This window comes from Homo sapiens, chromosome 6, assembly GCF_000001405.40.
Source record: "Homo sapiens chromosome 6, GRCh38.p14 Primary Assembly".
Taxonomy (NCBI): domain Eukaryota; kingdom Metazoa; phylum Chordata; class Mammalia; order Primates; family Hominidae; genus Homo; species Homo sapiens.
The window spans coordinates 643,848-655,918 of NC_000006.12; the positions used below are offsets into that span (position 1 = coordinate 643,848).

General features: G+C 36.3%; 1 protein-coding gene across 18 annotated transcripts in view; it reads right to left on the minus strand.

Annotated features, from left to right (window-relative positions):
• EXOC2 (exocyst complex component 2) overlaps positions 1-12,071 on the minus strand; it is a 207,986-nt gene that overhangs the window by 158,694 nt on the left and 37,221 nt on the right. For 2 of the 18 annotated variants that reach the window (XM_047419010.1, XM_047419015.1), the window contains exon 2: positions 3,654-3,819. The exons of the other annotated variants lie outside the window; for them this stretch is intronic. The gene's annotated coding sequence lies outside the window, so the exon portion shown is untranslated. The remainder of the gene's footprint in view (positions 1-3,653; positions 3,820-12,071) is intronic. 18 annotated transcript variants of the gene reach the window in all.

Genomic DNA, 12,071 nt, shown 5'->3' on the forward strand with positions numbered 1-12,071 from the left:
GGGAATAACCATAGATACTAAAGACATTTAAATAGCAATAAAGACAATGAACAGCTTTATGCTGATAAATTTTACAACTTAGATGAAATGAATTCCTTGAAAGACAAGTTACCCAAACTAAACAAGATGAAATAGAAAATCTCAATATCTTCATAAAGATTAAATAAATTAAATTCATTATCAAAACTTTCCTACAAAGAAAACTCAAACCTAGATGCCTTCACAGATGGATTCCATAAAACATTTAAGGAAGAAGAAATATCAAGCCTATATGAATTATTTCAAAAAGCAAAAGAGGAATACATCATGATCAAGTAGGGTTTATTCCAACCAAGCAAGGCCAGTTTTTCAGACATCAATCACTGTGAATTACCATATTAAAAGTAAAGGAAAAACCGTATGTTACCCTAAATAGATGTCAAAGAAGCCTTTGATAAAACTCATGATTAAAAACTATTCATGATTAAAAACTCTCAACAAACTAAGACTACAGAGCATCTCCTCAATCTAATAAAGAACTATTTGAGTGGGGAGGATCACCTAACATCCTACTTAATGGTGAAATACAGAATGCTTTCCCCCCTTTCGAACAGTAACATAGAAAAGATACCTCTCTTTCCTTGCCTATTCAACACTGTTCTAGAAGTTCTAGCAGTGCAATAGGGCGAATTAAAGAAATAAAAAGCAGAAAGATGGCAAAGGAAGAAGTAAACATCTATTTGCAGATGACATGATTGCTTATATAAAAAATCCTAAGAAATCTACTAAGCAACTAATAGCACTAATAGCCGAATTTAGCAAAGACTTAGTATTCATGGTCAATATATAAAAATCAGTTATTTACATATTTTAGTAGGAAATGATTAGAAAATAAAATTTTTTAAATTTTGAAAATGCCATTATAAAACCAAATACCTAAAAATACACTTAATAAAAGAAATGTACAAGACTTCTACATTAAAAACTACAATATACTGCAGAGACAAAATAAAGACCTAAATAAGTGAAGATCTATATCATGACCATGGATCAGAAGACTCAATGTTGTTAAAGTATCAATTCTCCCCAAACTGATTATAAATTCATGCAAGCTTATATAGAGATATTGTCAAGGTCATTCTAAAATTCCAGTAGATATTCGAACATCTAGCAAGAGCCAAACCAATCTTAGGAGGAAGAAAAAAGTTGTAACACAGTTCATGACTTCAAGACTTATTACAAATCTACAGTAATCAAGACAGTGTTGTTGACATTAGGATAAACTAATGGACGAATGAAATAGACTAGAATCCAGAAACAAACACATATGATTATATGAGTTTTGACAAGGCACCAAAGTAATTCAATGGGAAAAATATTTTAATGGTGTTGAAAAAACTGGATAGCTACATAAAAAAAAAAAAAGGAATGTTAACTGCAACCTCACATCACTTACAAAAATTATTTCAAAATGGCTCATAAACATAAAAACTAAAATTATAAACTATAAAGAAGATAACATAGGAGATTATCTCCATTACCTGGGCGTAGGTAAAGACTTGTGTTCAATATGACAAACACAAGTACAATGAAAAACACTAAATTTTCTGACTTCATCCAAATTAAAATCTTCTGCTTATCAAGAGAAAATAAATAGGCAACTACTGCCTAGAAGGAAATATTCACAATAGATACAAATGACAAAGGACTTTATACAAACAACACATAAAGAACTTTTGCAATCTGATAACAAAGGAAGCAACCCTTTTTTTTTTGAGCAAAAGATTTGAGGAGACTCTTCATAAAGGCAGATATATGAACTCAGTTTTTAATATGGTATGTGACAAAGAAGTGTACTGGTAGATTTATGTGTGTGTGCAAGTGTGTATTTTCTAGCTTTGTACATTGAGAGAGGCTAGAAGCAATAATACAACAGTAGCGATGAGCATATCTAACTCCCAAATACCATTTTTCAATGAAAGGAACCAGTGACCTTGGAGAAATGGCTGATGCAGGGCTGAGGCAGGGCAAGGACAAGGTAAGCCTGAAAGATTCTGCTGTACCACTAAGGAAGTGTATGTCAAAAGGCCACAGAGCCAGACTGAAGCAGTGCCCACTGTCCAAACCAGACAATCTGAGAACCAAAAATTAGTATTTTCTTGACCTTGACATTTTCAAAGAGTACAGGTTATTTTATGGAATGCCTATCAATTTGGCTCTGTCTGATCATCCCTGTTGATTTGATTTGGGTTATGTATCTTTCACAGGGACTTCACAGATCCTTCTCAGTGATTCATATCAAGAAAGGCTCCTCATGTTTGTCTGTTTCAACTTTGGATTAGACAGTATGGTACCAATATTTTATTTCCTGATTTTGGTAACTGTATTATAATATAAGAGAATGTCCTTATTCTTAATAACTACATACTGAAGTATTTAGGAGTCAAGGAATGATGCCTCATCCCACTTTCAAATGGTTCACAAAAACATAGACAGACAGATGGACAGAATGATACAGAAATTGGGGAAAAAGGAAACAACTGGTGGGCGTGGTTAAAGGGCTTCCTGGAGTTACTAGTCACCAAAATGAAGGAAGTAAGTAAGGGGTTTATAGGAGTTACTTTTACTATTCTGGAAAGTTTTCTGTAAGTTTGAAGTTATAGCAAAATAAAAAGTTATCAAATATAATGCTTTGGTAATATTTTGAAATTAAACACAAACACATCCCATTAACATTAGCCTGCTAAGCTACACAACATATTAGGCTCATTGTTCCTGAAAATTGAAAGATATTTATTTTCACATTTGACATCAGCAAAATGCACAAATAAGCAATGAATAAACTGATATTACATAAAGATACTAGGTAATTTAATAGTTACGTTTATATAAAATTGTATGTTTCAGAATTATTATTTTACTGGAATACACTATTGCTACCTCTTTAAACATGCTTCTAAACGCAGACAAAAGTGTGGAAAGCTTGTTTTGACAATGTGCTAGAAAACTATTATAAACTGATAAACATGAGATTTAGTATGGTAGCATATTAATAAAAATTATAGGACAGCAAAGGCATATTTCAACACAAAGTTCTTCAACAACTGCTTCAATAAACAGACATCATGTTGCTCCAAAGATACCAAAACACTGCAGGGAGAGCAAATATTAAGAAAAATGTGGATAATTAACCCACCACATTAATTAATGCTTACAAACCAATTTGTGAGAGGAAAATACTTTCTTCAATTGGCATGGAAAATTAGGCTCCACTGAGTGGTGATTCAATTATTTTCTTGACACTATTAAGGTATGTCCTCAGTATTACAGCACAAATTAAATAAGCATGTGGTTAAAAGTGAGTACTTTCAGATTCTGGTCTAGATCACATAAAGAACCAAATTTTTAAGTAGAAATATGCTGCTCTCCTTGTTTCCAGAAAAACAGTAGTATTAAAACTTAATGAAAATAATTACCGTTGACATTAATGTTACTGAAAAGATGATTAGTACAAACATCAGACTGTCAGAGATCCTCAGCGGTTTTGATTATCAGCAGGGGTGGTATTTCACAGAATCAGAGCCAAAGGAGAGCTGACACAACTGGTATCTAGTCTCTTCACCTGAAGACACTGTAACCTAGAGATGCTGAGTGTCTTTTTCAAGAGCACACACCTGATGAGTTGTCAAACAGACCAGATTCCTGGTGACCGGATCTGTAAGAGTCTAGTATCCTCTTCCTTCTGTACCACCATATGTCCTGTGAGGTCATTTGTGAATGTGACCGCTCACATTCTAATAACCTTCATTGTGTCTCCAGTGACTGGGGCTCTGGCTCACTCTGGTGTGAAACATAACTGCAATTAGAATACCTCTGGTCTCAAAGAACGCAAAACTAAAAAACTAGGACAGGGCAATTCCAATTTACTCCCACTATTTCAAATCCATTTTGAGGTCATTTACACAGGGCTCTTAATCTTAACTATGTTACCCTCAAAATCTGTCCAACTAAAAGTAATGTCTGGTCATAAAAGGTAATGTCTGGGCCACCATGGATAGCCATGAATCAAAAAGTCTGATCTACTTTCTTATTTATGACTGAAGAGTACAGGCAGGTGTCTTCCAGACGCACAAAGCAGACAACTGAAAAGCCAACAGGCATTACACTGGTTCATTTGCAACAATCGTATTTCCTTACCATGAAGAATTACCTACATATATCCAAACCAGAACAGACCATTATGCCAGGAAGACCTGTCATTTAATTTACAAATATAAGAACATATCTGCTTTTCACACTGCAGTATCCGTAGCACATCCAACAGTGCCTGCGACATAATATACACTCAGTAATTTGTGAATGAACTATAGGAAGAGATGTCTCTTCTCAACCTGCCTTCAGTTAAAAACATACTACAAGATAGTATGTTCTTATGTTTGTTGATATGTTCTTATCAATAAGTAATGCTCTTATGTTTAAAATCTCTAATAAAAGAAATAATTTCTTATCACTCTCAGGAAAGAGTCTAAGGCTTTAAGGAAACAGAATTCAGCTTCTGAACATTTTCAGTTTGACGATCCATGCCAGACTCCCTTGAGTTTAAAGGAACGCTCTAGTCTACAGTTGTCATTGTCTACAAATTTTCCTCACAAATATTCCAATTGCCATAAAACAATGACATCAAAAATGTGTCATAAGCTCTTTCTTATATAAATACACTAAACGGAGGTCAACAAAAGTCTGACTTTGCCTGTCATAAACCTCATTTGTTTAACTAAAGCAATATATAGTCTTTTAACTTCATAGCCATTTAAGACAATTAAGAAAGCACTAAGGAATAAAGTGAATAAGCCTATCCTAAAAGCACATACCACAAACTTTTAAAAACTCTTTTTTTTTTTTTTTTTTTTTTTGAGACAAGGTATCACTCTGTCAACCAGGCTGGAGAGCAGTAGCGTGACCACGGCTCACTGCAGCCTCGAACTCCTGGGCTCAAGCAATCCTTCCACCTCAGCCTTACAAGTAGCTGGGACCACAGGCATGCACCACCATGCCTGCCTAATTTTTGTTATATTTTTTTTTTAATAGAGACAGGGTCTTGCTCTTGAACTCCTAGGCTCAAGCAATCTGCCCGCTTCCGCCTCCCAACGTGCTGGGATTACAGGCATGAGCCACTGCACTGGGCCCTAACTCTTTTCTTTGTAAGAGACGGAGCCTCGTTGTGTTTCCCATGCTGGAGGGCCGTGGAAATTCACAGGTGCGATCAGGGTGCATTACTGCCTCCAATTTCTGGCTTCCAGTGATCCTCCTTCCTCAGCCTCCAGAGTAGCTGGAACTACAGGCCCGCACCACTGTGCCCGGCCACAAACTAATTTTATCTTTGGAAAGCATAGGGATAAAGAGGTATAACAGCTATTATTACTCATGTAAGGAAAGTTAATACAGATGAGAATCAGGAACTTTTATTAGGTCAGATTCTGGTACAAGAAAACTAATAATATACAAAGTACTAAATAATGCAAATGGGCAAATAATAAACGTTGGGGGAATGGGAGTACTTACTGGGAACTTCACATATATACACAGGTATATAAGATGGGCTACAAATTATTACTTACTGGCTCCTAGCCTAAGAACCACACTACACACTTACGTACTATCCATTACCAAAGAGAATTACTGGTTTGCTTAAAAAAAAATCATAATTCTGATGTGTTTCCAGACTCATGTTAATTCACCAAGTATTTCTCAAATGCCTGGACCCGAATGGGGATAACCAGAACTAGGAGGGTCCTTATGGAAATTAACCGTGGAAAGAGACACTTGTCTGATTTCTTTTGATAATGGCAACCTATTCACTGAATAAATATACACGCAAGAGTAATTTCTTTTTAGCAGTAAAATGTTTAAAAAGTACAAGTCTGTCATATGAATAAGCCAGTTTAGCTTTCAGCAAATGGTATCTAGTGGGACAATAAATTCTGGATATAAGAAAGCACTTTAATACATTTTCCAATGATTTATTTTCTACAGATACAGTGAAACATAAAAGGCATAGTGTTTTCTTGCTTCTCAGTAGTCTCCCTATGAGAAACAATGGAAGATGCTTAAATAATTTGTAAACTTGAGACTTTGACTTTTTTTAATGTAAGACTTTATTTTCATTGAATTATCATTTTGTGTGGCAAATAAATTCCTTCCTGCCTGCAAGAGCAAAGGACATCTTCAAACAAGGACAAAATGACAATGCCCCTCCAAAAGGTTTGAGATTTTTTAAATTTAAATTTTATCTTTATAGATTAAGTAAAACAATCATATGGTACTCTAGATTTATTGTAATGAACAAAAGTATATCCAAGCTGTAAGTCTATTGAAACATTTATGAACAGTCTGGAGACTGGGTTCTAAACTGAGTTCTGGCATTAGGAAATAAAAACGCTTGTTCACTTTTACGCACTGTGAAACGTTTCTTATCTATAAACAAGATGATTGGATGAGATCAGCTCTAAGGCATCTCTGAGCTCTTGTTCCTAGGAGAGTCCTTTACAAAGCTTTTAAATTCAGCAACTAATGCATGACTATAGAAACGGGCACTCTCTAGTTTTTCACAATTAAACTAAAAACTTTAATAATAGCTTGCTATTCATTTTAAAATTTCTGTATTGTAAAACGTTTTTACTGTATAATTACACAATATTAGTTAAAACATTATATTTAGATGGTCTATTGATGTTTAATATTATAGGCAACGTATCTCTGCAGATTAGGGAATAACCTAAGTAGAAGAATAAATTATCTTTTCCATTTTCAAAAGCTACATTACAAAACTAGGCTATAAAACTTTTGATAGATACTCCCTGTTAATGAATTATTAAAAGTAAACCATAATAATTCATGAAAGACTAAACTGTAAAATTATTTATGTTCTAAAACAAACTATTAGATTTTTCATTTCTGTTGGTATTATTAAGTACATCAAGACAAAGCAACAGAACTAGAGACAGACAACTGGAGGAAAGAAGAGGAGAGAGTATGAAACTAGTAAAAAATATCTTTTATTATAGCTTGAAAATTTTCATTTAATTTTTCTAAAAAGGAAAAAATTTGGAAGAGATGCCTGAAACAAACACGATAAGCAATTTGTTATGTCAAAATCAAAACCTGCAGATCTTATAACTTCCTCACTGTAGTAAGGCATGTGTTCTTTTTTTTTTTTTTTTGAGGCAGAATCTCGCTCTGTTGCCCAGGCTGGAGGGCAGTAGCGTGTGATCTCGGCTCACTGCAAGCTCTGCCTCGCAGGTTCACGCCATTCTCCTGCCTCAGCCTCCCAAATAGCTGAGACTACAGGCGCCCGCCACCATGCCCAGCTAATTTTTTTTTGTATTTTTAATAGAGACGGGGTTTCACTATGTTAGCCAGGATGGTCTTGATCTCCTGACCTTGTGATCCTCCTGCCTCGGCCTCCCAAAGTGCTGGGATTACAGGCGTGAGCCACCGCGCCCGGCCGTGTTCTCCATTTTTATCTTGCATTTAAAGTCTACAAAAGGCCAGGTGTAGTGGCTGATGCTTGTAATCCCAACACTTTGGGAGGCTGAGGCGGGCAGATAACTTGAGGTCAGGAGTTTGAAACCAGCCTGGCCAACATGGTGAAACCCCATCTCTAATAAAAATACAAAAATTATCTGGGTGTGATGGTGGGCACCTGTAATCCCAGCTACTCGGGAAGCTGAGGTATGAGAATCACTTGAACCCGGAGGCCGAGGTTAGGGTAAGCCAAGATTGTGCCACTGCACTCCAACCTGGGCAACAGAGCAAGACTCCGTCTCAGAAAAATAAATAAATAAATAAATAAATAATAAAAAAATAAAAAATAAAGTCTACAGAAGTGCTCATGAGGGCAGAAGATTTTTTAAATGAACCAAAAAATGGCTTGATTAAAAATCTTCACAGGCCGGGCACAGTGGCTCACGCCTGTAACCCCAGCACTTTGGGAGGCCGAGGCGGGCAGATCATAAGGTCAGGAATTCGAGACCAGTCTGATGAACATAGTGAAACCCCACCTCTACTAAAAATACAAAAACTAGCCGGGTGCGGTGGTGCGCGCCTGTAATCCCAGCTACTCAGGAGACTGAGGCAGGAGAATCGCTTGAACCCGGGAGGCGAAGGTTGCAGTGAGCCAAGATTACGCCACTGCACTCCAGCCTGGGCGACAGAGTGAGATTCCATCTCAAAAAAAAAAAAAAAACTTCACAAACAGCTCTGAAAATACTCACCAAACAAAATAATTCACATATTTTTGTACGTAACTCAGAAGATATGAAGTAAATAGTTTCAAAGAGCATACACTATACCTCCAAAGTGGTTATTAATAATTTTTAAAGACTACTTCAGAAATACTTTTGAAAACAACTGTTTAAACTTCCCATGTTATAACTTTAATAGCATTAAATCAGAATCTAGCCCAACGGAAACACATCTTAGTAAGCCAGAGGGTTCAAGCGACTCGCCTGGGTCCAATGTTTGTGTGTTCTTTCCACACTACCACAGGTGGAATTTAGAAATCACCAAAACAAAATAAATTAACAAGTTTAAGTGTTTTATCACCAAATCTAGTAGGAAACTCTTCATTACTGATAAAAATGTAGTCATGGGAATTTACTATGTAAACATAAAGGTTGCCAAGTTAATGGCTTATCTTACTGCATAAGCCACCAAAAAAACTAAACTAAAATTTAATATAAAAGAATATAAGCTACTCCTCTCCCTGAGACTGTTCATCACTATACCATCCTTTTATAACCTCTCTTCGTTTTTCTCAAAACAATGAAACATTAAGAATTATTTTCTAAGTAAAGTACTGGAATACTGGCGGGGCTGGGGGTGGGGAAGGGAAGAGGATGAATGGAAACCTGATTTATCCAAAAATTACCCTTAAAGCAACATTTTGGTTAACATGAACTTGACTACAGTTTACCTCCTTTTATTGTGCTTCACTTTACTGTACTACTCAGATACTGCACTTTTTACAAATTGAAGGTTTGTGACAACCCTGCATCAAGCAAGCCTATCAGTGCCATTCTTCTAAAAGCATGTGCTCACTCCATGTCTCTGTGTCACATTTTGGTAATTCTTGCATTATCTCAAACTTATTCATTATCATTACATCTGTCATGGTGATCTGTGATGAGTGTTCTTTGATGATACTATTGTAACTGTTCCGGGGCACCACAAACCATGCTCATATGAGACAGGGAACTTAATTGATAAATGTGTGTGTGACTGTTCCACCAACCAGCATTCTCTCTCCCTCTCCTCAAGCCTCCCTATTCCCTGAGATGCGACAATATTGAAAGTAGGCCAATTCATAATCCTACAACGGCCTCTAAGTGCTCAAGTGAAAGCAAGAGTTTCAAGTCTCTCACTGTAAATCAAAAGCTAGAAATAATTAAGCTTAGTAAGGAAGCCATGTCTAATGACCTGACAGTCTAAAGCCAGGCCTTCTTGTGGCAAACAATTGGCCAAGCTGTGAATGCAAAGGAAAAATTATTGATGGAAATTAAAATTGCTACTCTAGTGAACACACGAATGATAACAAACTAAAACAGCTTTATTGCTGATATGGAGAAAGTGTGAGTGATCTAGATTGAAGATAAACCAGCCACAACATTCCCTTAAGCCAAAACCTAACCCAGTGTAAAGCCCTAACTCTCTTCAATGCTATGAAGGCTTAGAGAAGTGAGGAAGCTGCAGAAGAAAAGGCTGTAGTTAGAGGATGGTTCATAAGGTTTACGGAAAGAAGCTATTTCCAGAACATAAAAATGCAAGGTGATGCAATGAGTACTTATGCAGAAGCTGCAGCAAGTTATCCAGAAGATCTAGCTATTATAAGATCACTGATGAAGGTGGCTACACTCAACGACACATTTTCATTGAAGACAAATAGCCTTCAATTGGAAGAAGATGCCATCTAGGACTTTCATAGCTAGAGAGGAGAAGTCAATACCTGGCTTCAAAGCTTCAAGGACAGGTTGACTCTGTTGTTAGGGGCTAATGTAGCTGGTAATTTTCAGTTGAAGCCAATGCTCACTTACCATTCTGAAAATCCTAGGGCCCTTAAGAATTATGATAAATCTACTCTGCCTGTGTTCTATCAATAGAACAACAGAGCCTACATGACAGCACATCTGTTTACAGCATCTGGTTTAGTGAATAATTTAAGCCCACTGTTGAAACCTAATCCTCAGAAAAAAAGATTTCTTTCAGAATATCACTGTTCATTAACAATGCACCTGGTCACTCAAGAGTTCTGGTGAAGATACAAAAGGAGATGAATGTTTTCATGACTGCTAACACAATATCCATTCCGCAGTTCATGGATCAAGGAGTAATTTCATCTTGCAAGTCTTATTATTTCAGAAATAAATTTTGTACGTTTATAGCTGCCATGGATACTGATTCTCTAATGGATCTTGGCAAAGTGAATGGAAAACTTTCTGGAAAGGATTCATCATTCTAGATGGCATTAAGAACACTGATGATTCATGGGAAGAGGTAAAAATATCAACATTAACAGGAATAAAAAAGAAGTTGATTCCAACCAGCACGGATGACTTTAAGGAGTTCAAGACTTTGGTGGAGGATGTCACCGCAAGTATGGTGGAAGTAGCAGGAGAACTAAAATTAGAAGTAGAGGCTGGGCATGGTGGCTCATGCCTGTAATCCCAGCACTATGGAAGGCTAAGGCGGGAGGATTGCTTGAGGACAGAAGTTCAAAACCAGCCTGGTCAACATAGTGAGACTCCCTCTCTACAAAAGAAAAATTAAAAAGTTAGCTGGGCATGGTGGCATGAGCCTGTAGTCCCAGCTACAGGGGAGGCTGTGGCAGGAGGATCGTTTGAGCTCAGAAGTTTGAAGCTGCAGTGAGCCATGATTGTACCACTGCATTCCAGTCTGGGTGACAGAGTAAGACCCTGTCTCAAAAAAAAAAAAAAAAAAAAAAAAAAAAAAAAAAGTAGAGCCTTAAGGAATTGCTACACTCTTAAGATAAAACAAACAGATGAAGAGTTGCTTCTTATACATAAGCAAAGAAAGTGACTTTTTTGAGATAGAATCTACTCCTGGATGGAATCACAGCATCCTGAAGATGCTGTGAAAACTGTTGAAACAACAACAAAAGATTTAGTACAGTGTATAAACTTGGTTGATAAACCAGTGGCAGGGTCTGAGAGGACTGTTTTGAAAGAAGTTCTACTGTGGATAAAATACCCAAAGCATCCCATGCTAAAGAGAAATCTTTCATGAAAGTCAATCGATCCAGCAAGTTAACTACTTTATTTTAAGAAATTGCCACAGCTACCTGAGCCTTCAACAACCACCACTGGAATCAGTCAGCAGCTATCAAGAGGGAGGTAAAGACCTCCCACCAGCAAAAAGATTATGACTTGCTGAGGGCTCAGATGAGCAGCAGCATTTTTTACCAATGAAGTATTTTAAAATTAAGATGTGTACATTTTTTAGACATAGTACTATTGTACTCTCAACAGACTACAGTATAATGCAAACATAACTTTTATATGTACTGAAAATCCAAAAAACTCATCTGTCTTTATTGCAATATTTGCTTTTTGCAGTGGTCTGGAACCAAACTTGGAGTATCTCTGAGACATGCCTATATTTCCTTGATTTCTAATGTGAATATGATACATGTGAAAAATGAACCTAATAAGCAATTCAAACTATGTAGATAATAAATCTAAAAACCATGTACACTGATATATTCTTTGACATATCCTATACAGAACACGGCTTAACAAAGAATATGTAATGCACACACATGCTAAATACCTTTTATCTTGCAGATATATTTAGCTCTCTACATAAGAAATGCCCTCGGAAAACATTCATACATATTTTAAAAGGAGAACTTTCCCGCTTTACACAGCAGCATTTTATAATAAAATACTGATGCAATTGTTTCAGGATTCAAAAATACTTATTTCATTACAACCCTGTTTTTCCCCCCCGAAAAAAAGAGTTGAAGAATAACTTTGATAGAATCTTAAGCAGGAAAAAAACCTGACAAACCCAATAAA